This window comes from Homo sapiens, chromosome 9 (genome assembly GCF_000001405.40).
Source record: "Homo sapiens chromosome 9, GRCh38.p14 Primary Assembly".
Lineage (NCBI taxonomy): Eukaryota > Metazoa > Chordata > Mammalia > Primates > Hominidae > Homo > Homo sapiens.
Genome location: NC_000009.12, coordinates 27138878 through 27166028, shown reverse-complemented (window position 1 = coordinate 27166028; position 27151 = coordinate 27138878). Strand labels below are relative to the sequence as shown.

The 27151-nt window shown below is 40.4% G+C and overlaps 1 protein-coding gene across 5 annotated transcripts in view; it reads right to left on the bottom strand.

The window, feature by feature from the left end:
- TEK (TEK receptor tyrosine kinase) overlaps nt 1-27151 on the bottom strand; it is a 120950-nt gene that overhangs the window by 64146 nt on the left and 29653 nt on the right. For 4 of the 5 annotated variants that reach the window (NM_000459.5, NM_001290077.2, NM_001375475.1 and 1 more), the window contains exon 2: nt 7887-8198. The exons of the other annotated variant lie outside the window; for it this stretch is intronic. In NM_000459.5, the coding sequence (NP_000450.3) occupies nt 7887-8198 (312 nt within the window). The remainder of the gene's footprint in view (nt 1-7886; nt 8199-27151) is intronic. 5 annotated transcript variants of the gene reach the window in all.

Here is a 27151-nt window from a genome sequence, read left to right as displayed (position 1 = left end):
TTTGAGAAAGACTAATCAAGCGCTGTGCGCGCCACTGGCTGAGACAACTACCCTGTGAGGGCAAAAGATGCCTCCGAACCATGCTCAGAAGGACCTGGGCTTTAGGTTTGCCTGCTTGCTTTCATCGGCTGTGGGCTGTGCCTGCGGATCCTAGCATGGGTGCCTTGCACAGACTCCCCTGGTGGTCAGGTATGTGAATGCCTTTGGTGCAGATGATGACCTGGGGGCAAACCCAGAGAGAGCACGGGGTAGATCATTCCAGCAGTGCGAGCGCTGGAATCAGACACATTCCTGGGCTTGGATCCACCCTCTGCCACCCTTTTTGAAAGCTGCTTCACCTCTGCAAATCTCAGTTTTCTCATGTGTAATTGAAAAGTAATGATACCTACCTTCAAAGGTTGTTAGTAATATTAAGTGATGTAGGCTAAGCCCTGAGGTGCCTAGAAGAGGTCGGTATCCTTCTAATATAAACAGCAACACTGCTGTGCTGACATTTGTGATATGAGCATGAGGGACACTTTTCTCCAGAGCACTAAAATGAGCCAGCCATAAAGGAAGAGCAGACAGGGGACTGGATGGTGAGGGGGGCTGTCTTTGTGGGGCTTCTGCTCACGTTGCCAAGTGCTTCATTTAGACCTCCAAATGCATGCAGCTCTTGCTCTCTGTGGCATGCTCCTGGACTCCTACGAGAATTTTTTTCTGACCATTTCATGCTGTTGTTCCTGTCTATATGGTTTGTTTATATTTTCTGCTCCTTTGTGTGAGAATTGTTTAGCTGACCGTGGGACTTCTCACTCAGTATTGTGTTCTGAAAGGAACCAAGGTTCCCCAGTAGGCTCAATTCCAAGTAGCTTTCCCCCCACCACTCTGTGGCTCTTTATTATTTAGGACTGTGCTTTTTAACCTCCTGTTTTCTTAGGGGCATTATCACACCAGAGTTTCACTGCTGTCCAGAGTTTACCTCTGCATGAATGTCTCTAGGCTGATTGCTCTCTGTTGAGTACTAACGAAGGAAATCCAACATTCATGTTCTACTTTGGGCTTTCTGATGACACAGGAGCCTGGCTTGTATTCAGTACACATATATTGATGTTATGTGACTTGACTAGGCCATAAAAACGATAAATACCTTTTAATAGCACCTACTATGGACCAAGTGCTGTTATAAGCACTTTACACAAATTTAATTGTCAACCTGGGGGCGGTGGCTCATGCTTCTAATCCCAAAATTTTGGGAGGCCAAGGTGGGAGGATCTCTTAAGGCCAGGAGTTTGAGACCAGCCTAGGCAACACAGTGAGACCCCCGCTCCATACAAAAAAAATATTTAAAAATTAGCTAGGTATGGTAGCACATGCTTGTAGTCCCAGCTGTTCAGGAGGATCACTTGAGCTTAAGAAATCAAGACTGTAGGCCAGGCGTAGTTGCTCACGCCTGTAATCCCAGCACTTTGTGAGGCCAAGGTGGGCAGATCACAAGGTCAGGAGATCGACATCATCCTGGCTAACACATTGAAACTCCATCTCTACTAAAAATACAAAAAATTAGCCGGGCGTGGTAGCGGGCGCCTGTAGTCCCAGCTACTCAGGAGGCTTAGGCAGGAGAATGGCGTGAACCCAGGAGGCGGAGCTTGCAGTGAGCTGAGATTGCGCCACTGCACTCCAGCCTCAGTGACAGAGTGAGACTCCATCTCAAAAAAAAAAAAAAAATCAAGACTGTAATGAGCTACTGCACTCCAGCCTGGGCAACAGAGCGAGACTCCAACTAAATAAAAATTACTTTTTATAATATCCCTATGAGATAGGTACTACAATTATCCTAATTTTACAGATGAGGAAATTAAGGTACAGAGAAGCTAGGTAACCTGTCCAAGATCACACAGCATATACATGGGAGAGCCAGGATTTGAACCAAGGAATCTCGCTCTGGATGCTTTCATAGATTATGTAATGTTAGCACTCAGAAGGCTTTAAGGTCCAACCACCTCATTTTAAATTTGATACTGCTGAGGCCTAGGTTGGAAGATAACTTGCTTAAGATCATTTGGATGGGCTAATTCATGGGCAGAACTTAACTAAAAATATAATTCCTTATTCCATAAGGTCTGGAGAAGAAAGTAGGTGGTAGTAAAAGTTATACACAAGTGAAAACACAGATGAAAAACAAGTGAGCTCAATTTCAGTCATCTCCTTTCAATTTAATTGTTGTGTAAGTACTACAGGAAATAATGTAGTTTCATATCTGTGATTATTTTGTGCAATTTCACCACAGTCCTGTGAAGACAGTATAGCTACAGTTTATCCATATGGGAGATGGAGTTAAGGAAGACTAAGTCCCTTACCCAAGGCCTATCAACAGTGAATAAATGTGGAAGTTGAGACACAAACTCAAGACCTCCACCCCTAGTTCTCCAGACTTATCATTCTCCAGGTCCACATCCTTAGCTCTCAATTCCAGCCACTTTGAACTGTATTCAGTTCCTCAGCCAGATCTCATCACTCATGTCCAAGTCATGAGTTTTCTTTCTTCTTTTCTCCTCCTTTTCTCCTCAGCCTCACCAGCTCCTGCTCATTCATCAGTTTCCATTTAGGAATTTTCAGAGACCTCACACAACACCTGGAACACAGGTTAGATGCCCTCATAGCTACTCCCTAAATACCCTGCATTTTTTCATTATAGCCCCACTCATGGTATATATCCCCTACTAGATTGGGTGTTCCAGGAGGGCAAGATCACATCTGTTTTGAAAGGTAGCACAGGGTGATGGTTAAAGCCAGGCTTCTAGAATCGGGCCTGACTTCACCTTCCCAGATCCAACACTCACTAGCTAGTAAATGCACGTTAAGTTACAATAGCCAAGCCTCATCTATTATTAGTGGGGTCTTAAAAGTCCTCATCTGATATATATTTGATAAAGACTAAGTTAGTAATACATATGAAGTTGCTAGGGGAATGTCAGGCATACAAGTATTCAGGAAAACATGTGGCAAAAATAGAGGCTCAAGAATAATTGTGGTGGCTGGGCGCACTGGCTCACGCCTGTAATCCCAGCACTTTAGGAGGCTGAGGTGGGTGGATCACAAGGTCGGGAGATGGAGACCACCCCGGCCAACATGGTAAAGCCCTGTCTCTACTAAAAATACGAAAACAAGCTGGGCATGGTGGTGCGCACCTGTAGTCCCAGCTGCTCGGGAGGCTGAGGCAGGAGAATCACTTGAACCCAGGAGGCAGAGGTTGCAGTGAGCCGAGATCGCGCCACTGCACTCCAGCCTGGGTGACAGAGCAAGACTCCGTCTAAAAAAAAAAAAGAAAAGAAAAATTGTGGAATGAAAGTATAAATGAACTAAACTGTTTCAGATTTTCCCATTTTCTTGATGCTTTTAACATATTCCTTTGGTTATTTAGGTGCAAATGGCTCTTCTCTAACAACTTCGTAAATTATGTTTGGGAAGTTTGATATTCTTAATATAAAGCTATTTCTCAAATGAAAGTAGGAATAAAATAACCCTCTGTTTCTTCTAATGGATCAGTTTGAAACAGGTCTTTGGATCTGAAAACGTTTCAAACTTTATATATAATTTCCTACCCCCAAATGAAATCACCAAGGAGGTTTGAGTCAAACTGCTGTTGACTATTTTGGATGATGCCATTGATAAAATCCAGTTTGTCTGTTTGGAGTGTGTGAGCCAATTTAAGCTGTGTTTTGGCACATCTCAAATGGATTTTCCACTTCCTCCACAGATGTACGAGTCAGCAGCAAGCAGGAATATATTGATGTTTATTTTATCCTGCTGTGTCCCTAGGCAGGCATTTCTGAGTTTCCATGATGTTTTAATAACGAATTAATAGTGACATGAAAACATAGTTTTGGAGGTTTTTCCTGATTCATCATAAAGGATTTCACTTTCCTCAAACCAGATTTCCCCCACTGGATGGTCAGCAAGAAAAACAGAACCTGTTCATCAGCCTGAGATGCTGTTATTGTTAAAATACAGGAGAGAACATACCTATTTTTCCATTTTGTGTAAAACTCCATAATATGTGAATGCATAGTAAAAATTTCTACAATTGAGTCGGAAAATTATCTCACCTATTACTCAAAGAAATTACAATAATCAGTTGTTAAACATTTACTGTGAAGCAGATAATGTAATTGGTAATAGTTAAGTGCCTCATTTAATTTCCAAATATGTGTGATAAAATCTCTATCCTTATTTTTTTTCACATGAGGAAAAAATATGACTTCAATTAAGTAACTTGTCCTGAGCCACACCACTCAGTTGCAGAGGTAGACTCGAACCCATATCTGTCTGACTTCCACTCTCATACCTCTACTCTGTGCCCTGGGTTGCTTTTTAGGACTTCAGGTAGGATCATTGTACTTTATAAAACAAGAGCTCAGAATCAGGGAGAGTTGCTAACATTAAGTGAGAATGATATCCAAAGGGTAGCGTAGTGGTAATAAATACTGGCTCTGAAGTCAGATCACTCGGCATCAAATGCCATTCCCACCATTTACAAGCTGCTATTATTCTTATTACTATGTACCTTATTCTGCAATATATTGCTTTACCTAAGCTTTTAGGGACAACGTTCACTGTGTAAATCGATGCTTCTTGTATATACCAACTTATTTAAAACAAAACAATTTTGTAGGTATTATTATACCCATTTCACAGATGATGATAAATGAGACCAATAGAAGTTAAATAACTTGCCAAAGGCCACACAGCTGGTGAGTGATGGAGAACGAATTAAAACTCAAGTGAGCATAATTCTAAAAGCCATCTTCTCGTTAGTGTTTCTCACTATCCAGGTCTGCCTTTGCCTTATTTAACTGAAGTTAAGCCATCCTTTACCTGTGATCACCTAGCCTCTCAGTTTGGGGGGATCATTACAGCGGGTTTTTAACTCCCAATGTTCTGGTCCAGTTTGCTTTACATGTTCTTATTTATACATTGTCAAGGATGACCTCAGGACAGTACAGCAAGGACACAGTGGCACTTCACATTTTGTTCCCACGAAATGACTGGGGCATAATCTCAGATCATCTTCCTTTAGAATGTGGAAACATCAGCAGAAGAATATTAGTCTTTATACAAGTCAAATCCAAAATGACACATGTGAAAAATAATAGAGCTGACTTTCAGCCATGATAGCTTTGGCACACCTCACATCCCTTTGTTCAACCTCTCTTCCCTCAACGGAGAGCTGCATTCCTGGGAATTTCTGTTGTGCACTTTTCCCACTTGCCCTGCTGTCATTTAAAGGTGAACATTCTAGTTTTGCTAAGAAAACCCTTTCCTTCATTTGGAATGAACAGCAATTTTATTACTTTTGACCTTAAAATGAGTTTGCTGCCTTCAAATCTTTTCATTACTACCATTAGTAAATTCAAAGAAATATTTTCAGCTGGACCCAAGTTAGAGGCTAACTCTAAACTGCTACTCAAAGCGTGGTCCATGGTCGAGCAGATTCTCATCACCTGGGACCTGGGTAGAACTGCATAATCCCAGGACTGTCCCAAACAACCTATTAAATCAGAGTCTGCATGTTTACAAGAACTACAGGTGATCTGTAAGCATGTTCAACTTTAAAAAGCATTGATCTAAAAAAAATGCAGACTACAGATGGTTAGATTATAAAAGAAACAGCCAATCAGCAATGTGCAGAGGTGTGTTACTTAACTGGATCAGCTTTCTAAAAGTCAGGCCTGGTGGGCTCACACCTATAATCCCAGCACTTTGAGAGGCCATAGTGGGAGGATGGCTTGAAGCTAGTAGTTCAAGACCAGCCTAGGCAGCAAAGCAGGACCCCCATATCTATGAAAAATTCGTTTAATTAGCCAGGCATGGTGGTGCATGCCTGTAGTCCCAGCTACTTGGGAGGCTGAGGTGGGAGAACAGCATGAGCCCGGGAGGTCAAGGCTGCAGTGAACTGTAATTGTGCCACTGCACTCCAGCCTGGGCAACAGCAAGACCCTTGTCTTTAAAAAAAAAAAAAAAAAAAAAAAAAAAAAACCCTAAACAGCTGACAATGTCATTATTTTATGTAATGACAAGTCCTCAGTCCACAGCTCCTGTGGTTGTGATGATACTAATTTGGAAAAGACTCCTTCATTTTAGGAATCAGCAGCCCAGACAAAGTGGCTGATAGGGGAGAGGCCAGATCATTCCAGGCAGAACAAAGAGAGGTCACCTTAGCTGGAATTCTGTACCTTCCTCCCAGCAGACAGCATCAAGAGCACCAGAAGTCTGCCTGCCTGTCCAGGACTGGAACCTTATAATACAATTATTAAATAATATTTGCAACACCATCTCCTTCAACTGCCATCACACAGGTGGACTGGTCTAAAGATTTAGCTTAAGGCCCACTTTTATTTTGGGAGGAAGACTTCATCACATCATCACCTTGTGGGGTGGTAGCAAGTCTTAATAATCCTCCCTTAGAGGAGGCTTTCAAAATCCTCCGGCAAAATTCTGGTGTTTTCTGAGCTGGACCTGGGTACTCGACTGCTAAAATTAAATCATGGTCCTTTTCCAAAAATGGTAGCCTGCAAAGAGGGCCCTAATTCTTCATCCCTCCCTGTATCCCTGACTCTTTGTCATTTCAGTTTGTAGTGCCCTCTCACTCTGATACTAGGCTCAGCTACTTAACTGGCTTAGGTTGATAAAATGAAGCAGAAGTGATAGTGTACAATTCTGAGCCTAGGTTGCAAAGAGCCTCATGTCTACATCTCATGTACATGAAATGTAGATGGCAGTGGTACAAAAAAATAGAAACACATGAGGCTCCTGGCAACCTAAGCTGAGAATTGTACACTATGACCTTATACTACCTTAGCCTGCTATAGTATAAGGAACTGAGCAAAGTTGCCCCAGCCAAGGCCAGCCTACTAAGCCTATAGCCAGGCAACACCATATATGTAAGGAATCCCAACCAAGGTCAATACATCCATCTAATCAACACAGCTGACTTAGACTCACAAGCTATAAATGCTCATTATTGTATGCCACTGTGGTTTGTGGTTATGTTACACAGCATTATTGTGGCAATAGAAAATTGATACACTGGCCGGGCATGGTGGCTCACGCCTGTAATCCCAACACTTTGGGAGGCCATGGCGGGCAGATCACGAGGTCTACAGATCAAGATCGTCCTGGCCAATATGGTGACACCCTGTCTCTACTAAAAATATAAAAAATTAGCTGGGTGTGGTGGTGCTTGCCTGTAATCCCAGCTACTTGGGAGGCTGAGGCAGAAGAATCGCTTGAACCCGGGAGGCGGAGGTTGCAGTGAGCCAAAATCATGCCACTGCACTCTAGTCCGGTGACAGAGTGAGACTCCACCCCCCCAAAAAAAAAAAAAAAGGAAAAGAAAGTTGATATACCAAATAACTAATTAAATTAAGTTACTGATGGATATTCCCCTTCTAAAATTCTTATTTATATTTAATTTTCTCCTGAAAATATTAACTTCCATTAAGGGTATTTAGGGACAAGCAAAGCAATGTATCACATGAAAAATCAAATAAGAAAGCTCAAAATAGTAGTTTGGCAATGAACACTTGTTTTCATTGCTATGATTTTCATATTACATACATGTAACAGTCAACTATCCATAAGTACCATGATGCCCTTAGAACATATGAAATATTTCATCTCACAAAGTAGGCACAGTATCTAGTTAAGGGGTTGGACTGGGTAGTCTCCTTTATCTCTAACATTCCATGTACCAGACACGGTGATGCATGGAAAGAGACAGGCAAGATCGTCAAGCTCTACATTCAGGTAGTGCATGCCCTGCCCCTGAGGGAGCAGCTGCCAAGACAAAAGGTGTGTGTGTTCCTCAGTGGGCCTCACCTGCCCAAAACTTAGGGGCATGTTACCTTGTTGACGCATCTTCATGGTTCGTATCCTGATTGCCTCTCCTCGAACTCGCCCTTCACAGAAATAAGCACCATTGATCTTACTAGCCTTTTCTCTCTTCCAAACAACTTTTTTAGCCCATTCTCTGGTCACATCTTGAGTAACTTCCAGCGGATCCTGGTGCTGGTTCATTAAGGCTTCAAAGTCCCTTCCTATGGTGATGGGCTCATGGGGGCGCCACCCAGAGGCAATGCAGGTGAGAGATGTTTCAGCATCAGATACAAGAGGTAGGGAATTGATCAAGATCAAGTCCATGGCACCTTCCACAGTTCCTAAAAGGAAAGAGAGACAATAATGTATGACTAAGGTTATTAACATGACCCCATTGGGTAAACTGGTGCTCACAAAGCCTTGTCTTAAAGTTGTGTGAGGATTCTTTCTAAAATGCTATTCTGACCATGTGCCTATCTTCCACTGGACAAAATCCAAAACTCTTTACCAAGGCATCAAGACCCTTCATCAGCTAGACCCTGCTAACCTCTCCTGCCCCACTGCATACCCTAGTTGCAATGGACTACCCATTATTCCCCCAACAAGCCATGCACTAGACATAGCTGGGTATTCAGGAAATGTATGTAGTATTAAGATGAATTAATAATAATGACATTATCATTATTCATTTAACTATTAGTTATCAATTGATGCTAATGTGATACTGTCACAATAATAAAGTATTCTAAAGAAATATATCAACTACATAAACTTATGCCTTATAGATTCTCATTTTTAAAGAATTGCACAATTCCACATTAAATACCTCAAGATAAGTGACAGACAGTGACTAAGTGAAGTCTTCATTTCCCTCAGGGCCTCATTTACTCCATCAGGATTCTTGTAAAGATTAAATAAGATAAAATACATAACTTGCCAACCACTCTGTCTGTTATATATTGCATACTCAGTGATTATTATTTCATTTCTCTTTATTCTGTTTCCTGAACACTTAGCCCCAAACCTTACCCTCTCCCCAAATGTAAAAACAAAAACAAAACCTTACCCAAACTTTAAATTTTATGAATTTGTTCTGTAAATGAGGAAGTACACTTTTAAAAAGAAAATCCTCTCATGTTATTTTCTCACTATTTCTCTTTCTTTCTCTCTCTCCCCTCCCCACCCCTCCCTTTTTTGATTTCTAAAGGTTCTAACATGAGCAGATAGAGTCTGTGTCTATTCTCTCCTCTTTAAATGTGGAAATATCAGGGATGGAAAATGTTCTCTAGCTCCAGTGATGGTTGGCTCTCAAATGTGCATAAAACAATCAGGAGACTAGAAAAATCAATTGAGTGATGAGGGCCCAACTAGAGTCTCAGAGACCTTTGTGTAGAAGTGATTCAAATAAGCTACATGTTATCTTATTGAATACCCATTAAATTCAGCAACTCTGTGAGGTATGCACCATTATCTCAATTTTAAATATGAAGAAATGAAGGCTCAAAAGATTGAGCAGCTAGTTTCATTTTCCACAGCTATTGAAGGCAGAGCTGGGATTCAAATGCTCACTGGTCTTTGATTCCTTGGATACAAGATACTCTTTCCTACCTCAAAGCCTTTGCTGTTCCTTCTGCCTGGAATGTTTTTCTCCACTCTTGGCATGGCCACCTTCTGCTTGTCCTTTGGGTCTCAGCTTAAGTGCCACTTTCTCATAGAAGGCTTCTCTACCTGCCTTATCTATAATACCTATACACTCTCATCCCATTGACCTCTAATTTGGCCTCCTGTTTTATTCATACAGATTACCATAATTTGTGATTATTTTATTTACTCTCCCTCTAAATGATAAACTCCAAATGTTCTGTATAGGAAGAGGAATTTAGGAATTGGTTTACAATGGAATATTCTCCGTAATCTCAACATATAGAGGACTTAAGTATTTGTTGGATGAGTGTATGGATGAATGGGATGGATGGATGGGCAAATTTTATTTCAGATCTGCCTGACTGAAGTCCATCCATTTGCTCGGCTTCCAATTCTAGAATAATAAGGTTAAAAATGAAAGTGCGGGCCAGGCACAGTGGCTCATGCCTGCAATCCCAGCACTTTGGGAGGCCGAGGCAGGGGGATCACCTGAGGTCAGGAGTTTGAGACCAGCCTGGTCAACATGGTGAAACGTTGTCTCTATTAAAAATACAAAAATTAGCTGGGTGTGGTGGTGGGTGCCTGTAATCCCAGCTACTCGGGAGGCTGAGACAGGAGAATCATTTGAGCCCGGGAGGCAGAGGTTCCAGTGCTGCGCACCAGACTGGGCGACAAAGAGCAAAATTCTGTCTCAAAAAAAAAAAAAAACAAAAGTGCTCCCCCGAGTCTGAACTGACCTCCTTGCCCATATTTAACTGTTTTGGGGCAAAAAAACATTATTCCCAATGTTTTGGGGAAAAAAACATTACAATTTTTACAAAATGCCAAAGAAAAGTGACCAATGACTGCTGAGCGTTTAAGGCTAATATTCATTTACCAGAATTTTTGAGCACCTACTTATGTCAAGCATTGTACCTGATATAAAGTCCTCATATAATTTGTTTTTAATGGCAATTGCCAGTGTTTACTGTATTCAGTGATGTTTTGAGGATAATCTTGGTACAAATTAAACCTTTATCTGAATGATTAGAAAGAAAAATTTCAAAGTCAAGTCTTCGTGTAAGCAGGAGTTACACCTGCATTTTATTGTAATATTAACTCATTACATGAGATTGAGGGAGAAAATCTCCACTAGAATGAGTTCCCAAGCCTGGCCTTGAAGCATCCATTTTACTTCTAGCCTCATTGGTAACTTTTAAGATCTCAGGACAGAGAATACAAGTTAGGATAGTAAAAACATTGAAAGAGACGACGAGCTACAAAGCCTAACAGTGGAATTACAGCCTCCAAAAATAACACCAGCACACACCTCCCCTTCCACGTACATACCCAGGCCTGACTCTGAGTGAACACCACTTCATCTCTCACACTCACACATTCCAGGCATGTTCCAGAAAGAGTCATCAAGAGGAAGGAAACACTGTAATTCTTTCAACTCCAGTTCAATCCAGCCCCATTTCTAGGGCCAGTCAAGAGTCTTGCCAAAACCACAGGATCTGCTCTGAGCTCCCAGCGGTGGCAGTGGCCGTGGTTTATTTAATAGCTTTAGGAAATAATACAAAATGCAGTTGATTTGAAAAGACAACCAAGCTATGTATAAATTATTTCTAGGTATGTATCTAGTTTCTTTTTCCTCTTGCTCCTTTCAGAGATCTCCCTTTACTTTCAGTGACGGAAAAGGAAATTGTGGCCTCTGGGAGTCTGGACTTGACTATACTTCGCTACCCTTGTTCAGCATGCCGGTTAAGGAAGACCTCTTCCACCAGCCAGTACTCTGTCCTTTGTAACCCCATTTACAGTACCAGAAGGATCTTCTATGTGAGCTTTGGGTATAAGAAGACATACCTACCAGCTTCCTAGGATGAGTCTTGAAAATCACCTGCTTAGTTTTCTTAAAATGAGAATCTATAGTTGTATTTGCTAGTATCTGCCTAAAGAATTTCTAGAAGGTGACACATAAAAAGAAGAACAACGATGACCTATTCGGGGGAACTGGGTAGTTGGGGCACAATGGTAAAAGGAAGACTTTTCCCTATATGCTTGTGTGTACTGGCTTTTGAACAATTTGACTATTATTCACACATAAAAATTAAACGTAAAAAAAAGTGTTATGGCCCATTTCTTAAAAAGGGGCAGCTGGAGGCTGGGCGCGGTGGCTCATGCCTGTAATTCCAGCACTTTGGGAGATTGAGGCAGGCGGATCACCTGAGGTCAGGGAGGGATAGCCTTAGGAGAAATACCTAATGTAGATGACAGGTTGATGGGTGCAGCAAGCCACCATGGCATGTGTATACCTATGTAACAGACCTGCACGTTCTGCACATGTATCCAAGAACTTAAAGTGTAATAAAAATAAATAAATAAATAAAAGAGAGACAGAAAGAGAGAGAGAAAAAAATGGCAGCTGGAAAAGAATCAAGAGCCATGGACATATATGTCCCTTTATGTCTCATCCTTCAGCCCTATATCTACTCCAAATTTCAAATTACATCCAAATAATGCATTTTTCTCTTTCTCTCTTCTTTGAACTAATAATAGGAAATGTGATGTTATCTCACAATGCTGAAAAATAAAGGAGTTAAAACTTAATGCTGAAAAAAAAAGTAGCCAAACAGCCTTTCAGAAAGAATAGAGCAGAGGCTCCACGACAACGAGTACAACTGTGGTCCGTGGCTTCTTGAAAGAGTTCTGCTGCTGACACCATGAAAGGCATGGCTGCCACTGCATATCTGGTGCCACTCAAGACATTTTCTAATAGAGACATTTCCTGAGAATCATTGCCAGAAGACAGATCCTATCTGGGCTCATACCAATATCAATCTCTCTGCTTAATACCCTTTCTTACATTATAGCGCTATCCTCTCCAAATCATGTTGGGGACGGATAGTGAGTTGTTTCATCACAACCATATCTAAAAGGCTCTGATCAAATTCATTAATAGTTTAATTCATACTTCTATCATGAAGGCTAATAATTTGCTGAAACAAGATGCATATTTAATATCATACATCTTATAAGTTTTAGAGATTAATGCTATTTTTCCTTAACAAAGATCTCTCAAATACTTTTTCTTTTTTTGAGACGGAGTCTCGCCCTGTCGCCCAGGCTGGAGTACAATGGTGCGATCTGGGCTCACTGCAACTTCCGCCTCCCGGGTTCAAAAGAATCTCCTGCCTCAGCCTCTCGAGTAGCTGGGATTACAAGTGCCCGCGACCACGCCCAGCTAATTTTTTTTCTATTTTTAGTAGAGGCGGGGTTTCACCATGTTGGCCAGGCTGGTCTTGAACTCCTGACGTCGTGATCCACCCGCCTCGGCCTCCCAAAGTGCTGGGATTACATGTGTGAGCCATGCGCCCAGCCTCAAACACTTTTTCAATGTTTGCATAAAAGTGTGTCCTTGTTTATAAGGAACTACTTGGCATTGTGGCATGACGTCTACCAAGTTAACAACCAAGCATCACAAGTGAAGCATAACAATCCTCTAAAATGTTTTGCTCACTGTATTTTCTGTGTTCTATATTGAACAGTATCTAATCTTTCTTAGTAGCGTCTTCTCACTAAATCTTATTATGGTGAACTCAAAATGTTGTTTAACTCTAGTTTTTATATTTACATTTTCTTGTATTCAATATTGCTATGAATAATGAGCCATTAACTAAGACATGGGAATATTTTTATTTAAAAATAGTTATGGAAATTATTGTGGGCCTGAATCAACACCCATATTATAGAATTTAATTACATTAGAAATTAGAGACAGAGCCATGTTAAACTGTGTTTAAAGAAACTGTAATTTCTCATGTTCTAAAAAGGTGCTCCAGAAGTTTCTGAGAGTGGAAGAGGTGAAATCAACAGAATGGACTCTAGACCCACACCCTCACCCACTCCCAGTGAGCTACTCAACTTTATTTTATTTTATTTTTTTGCGGCGGGGGGGCTTCATATAAGATTTTATTTGAAAGAAAAAAATTTTGCTTAATTAAAAACATAAAACCTCAAAGGTCAGCAATTTTCATTTTTTCACAGATGAAGGGGATGAAAGGTTAAACATATCAATGAAAATACACTCCACTGCAGCACAACATGCTTGCTCCAATTAGCTTTTTTTTTTTTTTCCACATTCCAGTTCACATACAGCTGCAGATGAAATCAAGTCCTGATTTACCCAGTTCCCTGATCTTCGAAGTGTTGGCAAGCTAGGAGACAATTTTAGGCAGATTAAATTATTGCATCGCAGGCTTATTCCCTTGTGCTTCTTACTACCTCAGAATTGTAGTATTGGGTGGAATTCTGCTAAGGTGTGTTTGGAATAATGCGTCATGTCTTCAGAACAACTAACTGTATGGTCACTGTATGGTTTTTTGGAAATTTGGTATTAGCTATGGTTAAATTTTTCAAAAGGTGTTCATGGTAATTTCATCTTTGTAACAGAAGTAGGTATCTTAAAGTTCTAAATATTTGAAATACCAATTAGCACTTCCTTGGCCAAAGGCATTTCAGAAATCAGGGAACTGGCAATGAACTGAAAAGGTCTGAGTCAAAAGCATTTCTGGAATTAAGGCCGTGGCAATGAGCCAAAGAAGCAAAGACAACTCCCAAACTATCCAGGATATTTTGCGAAATTGTTTGGATTTTAGTTTAGGTTTTTTGTTTTTGCTGTCCTGAAAAAGAAAAATTATCTTCAGTTCAAAAAGCACTCATTAAGTTGTTTATGTGTCCATTCATTCACTTACCACGCAGACTTATTGCATGCTTCCCCTGTGCCCAGTACTGCACTTGGCCCTGGAGACACAGCAGTGAATATACAACCGTCTCGTAGCTTATAGGCAAATGTAGGAGACAGACATGGAAAACTAATCACATAAACACATAAATACAGACAGGTACTAAGAGAGAGAATTACAAGATGCTTATGAGACACCATAATGGTAAACTTTATCAGACTTGACTGTTTTGAAGGAGGGTTTGTGGACTTTTAGTCTAAAGGAAAGTTGGGGTTAGCCAGGCAAAGCAAGAGAGAGATGAGAAGATAATCAGAAAAATCTTCCCCAAAATGGTAACTACTGAGCAGTAGTTACTCATTTTTCAAAAATGAGTTTTTAGTAGGACTCAATTCTAGAATGTTCTTTCTCTATCTTAAAGTTGCTATTAATTTCTTTCTGTTGGGCCCTAAGAACTACCAGCACTATTCCTCTGTGTCAACCCTTATGTTAAAGTATTTTCAGTATCTTTTCTGCCTTCTTGTCTCCCATGAAGAAATCCAGTTCCCAGGCATGTTTCCAACACTTTAATCCTTTTTTATTCTCTGTCTTCCTTTTGTGTATGTAGTAAGTCTCTGAGCAATAACTTCTTCCTCAAGATTCCTTCCAAGAAGATATTGGGCAGCTAACAAGAAGATACCAAAATATACAAGACTGGAAATAACTAAAGGAAGTTGCTAACATTTTTATTGTATAGCTGGGAGTTCAGAGTTATCCAGGGGCATCCTGGATGTGACTGGGCTGTGACTCTCTAACAACAAACTCCTGTGCTCACCCAGGAGTTGTACCAAGCCAGTTTCCCCAAAGGCCATGCCCGTTTCCCATCCCTGCTTTCCAGCCAAATGGCACCCTTGTCTGTCTGCTGGAGGGAATGACATCCTCTCGCCACCTTCAAACGCCGGAAATTTTCCATCTAGGCCAAATAACACATGTGTTAGTTAGAATGAGGATCAGTCAGCTGGCAGGAAACTTTTTATTTCCAGGGAACAGACAGAGCATCCACACAACGAGACTTTACTGAACATTCATTTATATGCAAACTCCATTCTGTGAGGCAGTGGGGGTGCAGGAAGCATGGTTCCATCAAATCAAGGATTGTTTACACCGGAAGAGGTTTTACAGACTGCTTGGTGCAAGCCTCACACCTTATTTTTTTGAGACAGTGTCTCACTCTTGTCACCCAGGCTGCAGTGCAGTGGCACAGTCACTGCTCACTGCAGCCTCGAACTCAAGGGCTCAAGTTATCCTCCCACCTCAGCCTCCTGAATAGCCAGAACTACAGGCATGCAACACCCCTCCCCCCAGCTAATCTTTAAATTTTTTGTAGAGATGGGGGTATCACTGTGTTGCCTAGGCTGGTCTCGAACCTCTGGGCTCAAGTGAAGCTCCTGCCTTGGCCTCCCAAAATGCTGGGATTACAGGCATAAGCCAACATGCCTGGCCAAGCCTTACACTTTATAACAGGCAATCTGAGGCATATAGAAAAGAGACCAGTTGGTGATTGCACAAAGGGTAGTGGTAGAGCCAGCCCTCAAGTGCTGATTTCTCTCCAGGGCCCTTTCTGTCACCCCAGAGTAGCAGTGTTAACAGCCAAGTCCTTAGTGTGAGGGAATATGGAATGTATATACATCTGGCAGGAGGGCGCCTGGAGAATCCTGGAGTTTGGTAGAAATTGGGGGAAGAGAAAAAAGATTTTGAGGAGAGGTGGCTAAAAAGCTAGAAAGGGTACAGGACAGAGAAATTGAGAATATCTAGAGAGGAGTTTTGGCCACCTTACAGATTCCCTTAAGCCTGGCAGTGCTGCCTCATCATCTTCCCTACTCACTTTGTCTCAGGAGTGGGATGCTCTCTAAATGCACTGTGTTTATCAGCACCAGGATACCCGGTATGGGAAAAATGCATCTTTGGAACCAGACCACCTTTTTCTGGGCTCTTCTCCTGATTCAATTACCTGCCAAGTTCCCAACTACCCTTATGCTGCTCAAAGACGTACATACCCACACCCACAACCAAGCATATCTATCTTCCAAGACAGCACTGAACAAAATTCAGTGTCTCCTCAGTGCCCTGTTCTTCTGCTCCCAACAGAGAAGGCAATTTGACTGACTTGCCTGCACAAAGAGGAGAATAAGCAAGAATTGCTCAAAGTGACAATTCACGGAGAACGATTGGAGGAGCAAATCAAAGAAACGAGTCTATAATGGAAGAAATTCAGGATTATATTTGCTAAGAGGAGATTGACAAAAGAAGTCACCTAGCCTTCCTAGTAGGCCTGAGATTATACCATGTAGAAAAGGAAGCTGACAATTTTTATTATATAATACATAATAAACACAATGCTAAGTGCTTTACAAACATTGTCCACTTGAATTCTCACACTATTGAAGGAAAGCATTTACACTCAATTTTATAGGTTAAAAAACCCTGAAATTCAGGAATGTTTAGGGATATGCCCAAGGTCACATAAGTAGAAAGATACAATTTGAACCTATGTCTCATTGATAATAAGTTCCATTACTACCTACCATGCTTTAGTCTAAACACCATCTAAAAGTCAATTTTGCCCATCGCTGTATCTCTAACAATGAGCACAATGCCTGGTTTATAATAGGTATTCCATAAACATTGATGAATGAATAAATAAATAAATGAGTGAGTGAGATTGGCCTTCAGTGAATGCATTCATTCAATAAACCTTTATTACTATGGGCTGGGCTCTGTGCTGCTTTCTGTGGGTCAAGAAAATAATAAAAAATAAAATATGGTTTCTGCCTTCAAAAAGCTTACATTCTGGCCATCCAATGTCATGAAGAAAAAACACTGATAGATTTTATCACAGAAAAAGCCAAAACCTTCTATACAGCAAAAGATTATATAAATGAAGTTAAATGACCAAGTAGAAAAATACTGTTACATGTAAAACGTATGTTACATGTAAAACTTAAGGAGTTAATATGTATAACATATAAAGAAATTTCATAAGTCGTTGAACCAATAGCAATTCACAGAGAAGGAAACACAAACAGCCAGTCGCAGTAGATTCATGAAAAAGTGGTCACAATATTTTGCATTTCATTCCATCAAGAAGTGGAGTTTCTTTCTCCATCTCTTGAATCTAGGCTTGGCCATGGGACTTCTTTTGATCAATGGAGGATTAGCCAATGTGGCATAAGCAGAGGCTTGAAAAGTGCTTGCCCACTGGGCTCTCCCACTGGGCTTGCACTCTTGCTGCTGCTCTATGGAACCCTGAGGCCATCATGAGGAGACGCCAAGACTAACCCGCTAGAGGATGAGAGACCAATCCAGCTTAAGCCAAAGAGTTTCCCAGATGACATACAGAAGCATAAGTCATAATAAATGTTTGCTGTTTTACCATTATGTTTTGGATGCCTTGTTACTCATCAAAAGCTGATATACTCACAACATGTGAAAAGTTGAAAAGATGTTTAACCTGACCACAGATCTCAAAATACAAACTAAAAAGACATCTCATTATTTGCCTATCAAATTGTCAAAGAATGGAGAGGGTCATAATATCTGGTGCTGGCTGTTGAATAGAAACATCTATATTGTTGATGGGCAGTGTAATTAGTAAAACATGTTTACAGGACGTGCTCGCAATATCTACAATAACTGAAAAGTTATATAAAAGCTAACCCTAATTCATCACTTATTATGTCAGGTACTACTCTAAGTGTGTCAACACATAATAACTCAATCCTCATAGCAATCTAGGCAGTAGGTACTATGACTGTTTCCATTTAACAGAAAAGGAGACTATGACAAAGAAAGATTAAATACTTGGTGATTGTTACACAGCTAATTTGTAGCAGAGCTGAGACTGAAATTTAGGTGGACTGGTTTCACTCCATTCTTTCAACAATTAAACTATATTACACCATCTCACGTCAAAAATGTCTAACAATTCAATGAAGTTGTTTTCAACAAATAATACTGGAACACTTGGACATCAATATGCAAAAAAAGAGCCCTAACCTAAAACCACCCATGTATACAAAAATTCACTAAAAATACATCGTGTAAAACATTAAAATACAAAACTTTAGGTATATAGAAGAAAATCTTCATGACACTGGAGTTAGAAAGTGATTGTTAGCTATGACACCAAAAATTAGCTGTCATAGACACCATGAATAAAAAAGAAATTGTTACGCTAAATTTTATTAAGATTTAAAACTTTAGTCTATGGAAGACATTGTTAAGAAAATAAAAGGACAAACCATGAACTGGGAGAAAATATTTGCTAATCACATATCTGGCAAATGACTTGCATCTAGAATGCATAAAAAGCTCTCAAAACTCAACAGTAAGAAAACAACTCAATTTTTTTAAATGAGCAAAAGATTTGAGACACTTCACCAGAGAAAATGTATAGATGGCAAATAAGCACAAAAGATGTTTAATATCATTAAACATTATGGAAATGCTAAGTGAAACCACAATGAGATACTGCTACAAACCTATTAGAACAGATCAAAAAACAAAAAAAGAAGAAAGAAAAAAGAAAACCTGATAATACCCAGTGCTAAAGAGAATGTGTAGGAACTGCAATTCTCATCCATTGATGGAAGTAATTTAAAATGGGTGGTATAGCCACTGTGGAAATTGGTTTAACAATTTCTTATAAAGTTAAACATACACTTACGTATCACCCAACAATCCCACTTGTAGGCATTTACCCTTCAGAAATGAAAATGTACATTCATACAATGAATGTTGGCCGGGCGCAGTGTCTCACGCCTGTAATCCCAGCACTTTGGGAGGCCGAGGCGGGCAGATCACAAGGTCAGGAGATCAAGACCATCCTGGCTAACACGGTGAAACCCCGTCTCTACTAAAAATACAAAAAATTAGCCGGGCGTGGTGGTGGGCACCTGTAGTCCCAGCTACTCGAGAGGCTGAGGCAGGAGAATGGCGTGAACCCGGGAGGCGGAGCTTGCAGTGAGCCGAGGTCACGCCACTGCACTCCAGCCTGGGAGACAGAGCAAGACTCCGTCCCCCCCGCCAAAAAAAAAAAAAAAAAAAATAGAATGTTTATAGCAGCTCTATTTATTCATAATCACCCCAAACTGGAAGCACCCAAATATCCTTCAGTGGATAAATACATAAACAAGCTATAGTATATCCATGCTACTCAACAATGAAAAGAAAAAACCTATTGCTACTTGCAGCAACATGGCATTATGCTGAGTGAAGAAGCTAAAATCATCTTCTACCTACTGTCCGACTGCATTTATATGACATTCTAAGAAAGGCAGGCCTGTAGGGATGAGACCAGATGAGTGGCTGCCAAGGATTAGGGCTGGGAGAAATCTGACTACAAAGGGGCAGCACAAAAAAGATTTTTGGGGTGATGGTACTATTCTGTATCCTGATCGCTGTTCTTAGTGGCAGATACATGAGTGTATGTGTTAAAACTCATAGAGTTGTATACACACAAAAGCCAATTATACTGTATATTAACTTTAACAATTATAATAAAAATGTATCTTTCATATTTACCAGTAAAAATATGCAAAGATATGGCAAGGATATTCATTGCAGCATATAGCCACAAACTGTAAACAATATAAAGTTCATCAACAGAAGCATCTCTAAATAAATAACGGTACATACATGTAATAGGGTATTATAAGTTTGCATGAGCCTTGAAATATAAAGTGAAGAAAACAAGATGTAGAACAGTACGATGACATCTAAGCTTAGAAGTCATACACCAACCTGATAACAGTGTTACCTGTTGCTGATAAAACTGGCAGGCACATGGGGGCTGAGAGAAGCAGCACCATAGAAGATATTCACTTATTGCTTTGCATGCTTAGTTTTGTATTTCATTTCCTCTATAATTTTAAAATAAAGATTTTTATTTATAGGAAGGCACACACAACTAATCAATCTAATGACATTGTTCTAATTAAATATTGACATGTCTGTCTTCTTCCTTAGACAATGAGCTTTCTGTCTTCAACGCCCCAGCACCAAGCACTGTGTTTGACAGACTACTCATTTTAAATATGTATGAGTTGAACTGGAACAATTCTAGCAGTAACTGAAAGTAATACATCTTAAACCCAGGTGACTATTTTGTGAATTACTAATTGCCTGACATGATTAACAGGACAGTGGAGTCATTAAGAACTTTGGTCTTGAAGTTCTGTCTTAGTTTCCTCATGTGTAAAACAGGGTGATAGCTTCTAAATCATTGATTTCTGTGTAAAGGACTATTGGTATTATCATGGCACAAAGCCAGTTTGATCAAGTAAATCTGTGTGAAATTATGGCCTGTGTCATCCCCAGAGGAAGACTGTTTTTAAAGTCATCTTGGAGCTAAGACACCCTTAGAAGGAAGGACGGCTCATGGCTTTGTGTCCTGCTGTGTGCTTACCCTCCCTCACACTTCAAACCCACATGGGCAGGAAACAGGCCGATCAAGAGCTAAGGAAGAGTTCCTGTGTTTCCTTCAAGAGTCCTTTGATTCTTGCCCCCTTTTTTACAGGGCTGACCTTAACAGGAGACCAGTTCTCTGCACGTGCAAGCAATTCTGGAAAAGCAGTTTCACAACCAGCCTGGCAATGTGGTGGCAGCCTTGGGGAGATCAGGGGGCTATTTGGAGATGAGCTTAAGAAGTTGCTTCTTGGGTCTTTGCCAGCTGAACCTCAGGGAGACCACTCACCTAACCTAACCCAAAGAGCCCACATATGTGTCTCTAAGCCCAAGAACCCCCACTTACATTTTCTTCATCTTTAGAAGTGTGTGCACAGTCGATATTCTATTCCTGGCAACACTGTCTTGTGGAATTCTGTTTGTTCAACCTGACAATGAAATATACTCTCCCAATATTTTGCTCCAAGAATTCTCTTTTCCCTCCCTATATGTTGCTTTTCTTCCCTCTCGAACAGGACAGGAGCTCTAGGTTCTGAAGCACAGTTCTCCAGCTCACTAGAGGGGACATATTCTTAGCTCAGTACTGGAAGAGGGCTCAGAGGCCCTCCAGCCTTGTACCATTTAGTTTAGGAATTGCTTTACTACAATTTTGGAATCTATTGTCTTCCAGGCCATATGTGAATTATTTCTGTGATTGTGTGCCACCTATTTGGGAAGTAGCTTGTCTGATCACATTCCCTCGCCTCAATTAAAAAAAAAATCCTGTGTGCTTCCAAACGACAGATAAACATTTGCCAGGTGAAATTCCAACTGGATTTTATGTCTGTTTTTCCTCTATCAAACTGCAGGCCTAAATATCTCAAGAGTCGGAGGCCTATGCGCATTCGTTAAGAGAGAGTTCTTGAGAAACTTTAGGTATAAATGTATTAAGTGTAATCCCCATGGGCCCCTACCAGTCCCCATATTCATTCCGATGGCAGTAACATCATTCCAAACACACTGGGAGCTCTTCTTTATGAATCATCCATAGCATCTTCGCATGAGCTACGCTCTTTACATATTCTCCTTTTCCTTTTTTTTTTGAGACGGAGTCTTGCTCTGTCTCCAGGCTGGAATGCAGTGGCGTGATCTCGGCTCACTGCAAGCTCTGCCTCCTGGGTTCAAGCGATTCTCATGCCTCAGCCTCCCAAGTAGCTGGGACTACAGGCATGCACCACCACGCCCAGCTAATTTTTGTATTTTTAGTAGAGACAGGGTTTCACCATGTTGGCCAGGATGGTATCGATCTCTTGACCTCGTGTTCTGCCCACCTCAGCCTCCCAAAGTGCTGGGATTACAGGCGTAAGCCACCGCGCCCAACCTCTTTTCCAGTTTTTCATGAGCTATACTCCCTGTCTGCATTGCCTTCCTCCAACACTTCTCTTCTCTCCACATTCAACTGGCTAACTCCTGCTCAGCCTTCAAGACTTGGCTCATGCTTTCCTCTACCCTGGGAAACCTGCCAGATGCCACATGGAAGGGGTTATGTCTTACTGACTATATAAACCTGGTAGCCAGTAGGTATGGCAGTATGACAGGCCATGATCCTATATACAGCAGCTGCCATGCATTTCATGACACTAATGGCTTAGGAAAACAACTTCTCCTTTATCTTCCTATGTAGACAATGTGCGTGTGTACATATATATATATGTTGTTCTGGAAGTAAGGAGACACAGCCTATCTCTGCAGTCACTTGAGGAAAAGCCATCTAAAACATGAAAGCCAGAGAGGCAATTTCATTAAATGTTCAAATCAGATATTCTGGTCATGGGCTGGCTCTATTCTTAAGTCACATTTAGTACACAAATTTCAACATCACAGTGTATGAGTCTCACTTGCTAAAACCAGGCTGTTTCTCGGTTCTTCTCTTCATTCTGACAAGGTGTGCCCCCTCCCTGGCTGCTCTCCTCCCTTCTCCACTCAACCCTGGATCCATGATGGCTACCTATGTCCCACTGGGTTCAGGTAGCAGAAAGTGCCAGCAGGACATACAAGGGTGGAAGGACAGTGTGGTCAGGCTATTTATTTTCCCAGCTCCGTCTCTGTTGAGCCATCTACAGAAGCCACAGTTCTTGGGGACAACCCTCTCTTGCCAATGCTCTCTCTAGTTTCAATCACCGCTCCCTCCCCTGGTGCTTTTAGGTCTACCTACGCTCATTTCAAGCAACGCACACAGATAACACCATGCTTCCTGTGGGTTGATAAAGAAACAGAAGCCCAGCTTTGTACATGCTCCCTCAATCTTGAAGCACTCCCTTTGGGTACCTCCCTAGAGCGGCTCTTTAAAGAGCAGTGTGCAAATCACTACTATCAAGTGTTTGCTAGTTGTGTTTCACAATAGCAGTGTTTCAATGACACACGAATAGTTACAAAAATCATTAACAATAGCTTTAACTTATTAAGTAACTTCCACAGTCTAGTTACTTTAACGTGCATTGTTTTTAATGAGTTCTCACAACCACCATATGAATTAGACATTATACCTCCATACCACGGATGAGGAAACTGGCTTAGACAAAATAAGCAACAGCGATGACTAAAGGAGATCTCAAATGTAAAACATCCGGAACAGTGATAGAATTCATAACTCTTCCTTTTTCCTAACAAAGTTGGGCACAGTAGCTTCTCCATATCCATTGTTTGACTGGGAACCCCTTTGCCTTAGTACTTTGATCATCCCAGTAGAAACACGAGTACTCTCTGGACCACATGTAAGACTATGAATCTAAAATAGCAGATTTCTCTTGGATCTCATTTCCCATTCACCCTCCTTGCCAAAACTCAGCAAGTGGCTATGGCCTTAGCCCAGAAATTATGGCCTGACCAGTGCTACGGAAGTCCCCATTTCCGTTTTCACAGTGATCTCACCAACTTTCAGGACTTTGCTTAGCACCTGTTCCAAATCTAGGTCTCTAATTCTGTCTTCCCAATAATAAATGCATGTTATGAAAGTGCCTGCTGGACACCTACATAGGCATCTCAAATGCAACATGTCCAGTAAGAACTTAGTATCTTCTCTCCTCTCAACCTTCACTCTTTCTCTCATTGTATCGTAAAGATTCACCTTCACAAGTACAGATGCTTAAAAACTCCAAGTTATTGTCAACAACTCTTTCACTGCTAATATCCAGTCCATTGTCTGTCCATTCTAGCTCTGTATTGTCCCTCACATTCCTTTTCATATCCTCATTCTCTCACTTCAACTACTGCAAATTTTTACCTTTGGTCTTTTTAGCCCCAAACTCCCTGCAAGCTTTCCTTTCCTGGACATTGTGACATTATTTCTCCTGCCAAGGATGCCCTTCTCTACATATGTTTATCTGCTGAAGTCCAATCTCTTCCAAGATGCAGCTGAAATCTCAATGGTAATAGAGATTTATGTTCTGTTACTTTGCACAATTCAAAAAAATAAAGTTTAAATGTGCAGACTGTTATAACTAAAAATCCAAACCCATTATACCTGTTTCTTTTTTAATTAAAGAAAACAAAGGATTTTAAAACACACCAATGTTAGGTCACATTTAATTAACAGCATCATGTAATGGAAGTATATCCACTTAATTCTGAAGTCCGGACCTCAGATTTAAAATGTCATTTGACTAGCATCCTTGTCAGTCTCTTCCAACTTCCCACTAAAGATGAGAAAATATTTTTTAAAAATTGTAACTACAGTGCTAACCAAGTAGTCAATAGACTTATTGTCACATCTAGTAACCATAAAGGCCAATGGAATTAGACTGAAAAATGTATTTTCATCATGAAAGTATATTTTAAGTCAAAGTTCCTCTTGAAAATAACTACTGCAAAAAGTAACATATATCTCAGATTTCATGGTAAATTAGCAAAGACTTGGAAGGGAAAAGGAAGGATGAGAGAAAGTTACAGTATGCAGAGTTCCTCATTGACACATGAGTGTTCAAAATATACTTTCACTATTTAATACTAGAAATAGAGAAGTACAGGTTAAATAACACTTTTGAAAAACTTGAAGGTGGCCATTAATAAAATAAAAAACAGGGTGTATACATCAAAATAACCAGGGAAGATAAATATAAACAAAATATAAGCCAAATAAGCAAAAGAAAGAAAACAAAAACCAAAAAGGAAAAACAGGAAAGTGTAAAAAATAAAGTATAAAACAATATGTTAGAAGTTAAGATTGACTAGCATTTATGATTTAAAGGTAAATGTTTTAAGTGACCTATAGAAAGACAAATACTTTCAGACAGCAGAAGAAAATTAAATCTTCCAAGATGATGCTTGTGGAACATTCACTTAGAACAAAAATCATAAAATCTTAAAAACAGAGATAGGCAGAGAACTTAACGAATAAATTAAAAGAAAAAAGGACCAATAAAAGAATGAAGAAAGAAAAGAAAGCAAAAATAATACTAGTTTCAGACAAGGTAAAACTCAAGATTGAAGGCATAAAGTAGAACATAGTCTCTCATATTATGTTGCTAGAAAGTAAAATCCACAGTAGAGGCATAACAGCTATGTATCTTTGTTCTCCAAATCATATAGGATCAAATATATAAAGGATAAACTGTTAAAAGCAAAAAAATGTAAGGAAAACATAATAGTTTTAGAAGATAGCACCACACCACTCCCATTTTGACAGATAAAGTAGACTAAAAATCAAATATAACATTTAAATAATTATAAAGATATGTATATCTTTATGTAAGACATATATAAGATATATGTCTTTATAATTACATATATAGCCAGTGGAGCAACACATTCTATAGGAGTCGAGGTTACAAAGATCAGTGCAATCGTATATAGACAAAAGGACTCTTGGCAATCCTTAAAATAACCCATAAAGGGAAATGTGGACATATATCATTTATTCACCAATGAAACAGGTAGGTTTTCCTCCAGCATTGGAAGAGATTAATGTTTCTTTTTTTTTTTTTTTTTTCTTTTTTGCTAATGTAAGTTTCACAAACAGATCCCTGTTTCTTTGGGTGAGAACCAGATAAAGTGGTGTTCAGGAACCAGACAGCATAAAAAGTATGTATGCCTTCAAACATGGTGAGCGTATGAGAGACCACAAGAATTGGGACTAAGCTCAGTGTGGGGCATATGAAGTGAAAGGGCAAGTGAAATCACCTGCATTGTTTATATTATACTTATTTTCTACATGTTTTCGATCAAGAATTATATAGTTGAATTTGCCTAACTTAAATAAGTTTGGTGTTGCTCAAAGGTGAAATTCAACCTGGACCAACCGATTAAAATGGACACTGATCTGAGCACCAGGAAATGGATCTGAAAAACCCTAATGGGCTAGCATTAACCCTTTCATTGCTAAATTACTGGGAAGTCTAGAGAGTCTAAGGTAGCGGGACTGGGGAAGCCAAGGTGGCAGGACAGGGGGAACATAGGCGGCCCATGCAGCAGTTATTTACCAAATCATACACAATTATTTCACTCTTTTAACAACTAATACAGACAAACTAGTATACAACTGTGGAATATCAACCCTGTTGTTACTCCTGCTGTACTATACATACACACACTCTCTCTTCCTCTCCCTCTCAACTCACTGAAGCCCAACAAAAGAAATTTTCCATACAATACTCTCAAACCACAACAAAACAATCCCACACCACAACACAGTAAATCAAGTTTAACAATATATTGTTGAACAAAAAAAAAGAAAACCAACTTCTCAAAAATCATAAAGCTGTCAGCCAGGCATGGTGTCTCACGCCTGTAATCCCAGCACTTTGGGAGGCCGAGGTGGGCGGATCACCTAAGGTCAGGAGTTCAAGACTAGCCTGGCAACATGGTGAAACCCCGTCTCAACTAAAAATACAAAAATTAGCTGGGCATGGTGATGCACACCTGTAATCCCAGCTACTCGGGAGGCTGAGGCAGGATCGCTTGAACCCAGGAGGCGGAGCATGCATTGAGCCGAGATTGCACCACTGCACTCCAGCCTGGGCGACAGAGTGAGACTCAGTCTCAAAAAAAAAAAAAAAAAAAAAAATTGTTAAAGCTGTCTTCCAAATAATTATTAATTCTCAGAAAAAAATCAAAAGTAAAAAGACAGGATTTTTAGACAATAAAAAATAAGAATCCTACTGTTTTTTTTTTTTTGAGACAGAGTCTCGCTCTGTCGCCCAGGCTGGAGTGCAGTGGCGTGATCTCGGCTCACTGCAAGCTCCGCCTCCCAGGTTCACGCCATTCTCCTGCCTCAGCCTCCCTCCGGAGTAGCTGGGACTACAGACGCCCACCACCATGCCCAACTAATTTTTTTGTGTTTTTAGTAGACATGGATTTCACCAGGTTAGCCAGGATGGTCTTGATCTCCTGACCTCGTGATCCACCCACCTCGGCCTCCCAAAGTGCTGGGATTACAGGCTTGAGCCACCGTGCCCATCTAAGAATCCTACTTTCAAAACTGCTACAGTGAATCTAAAACATTACATAGC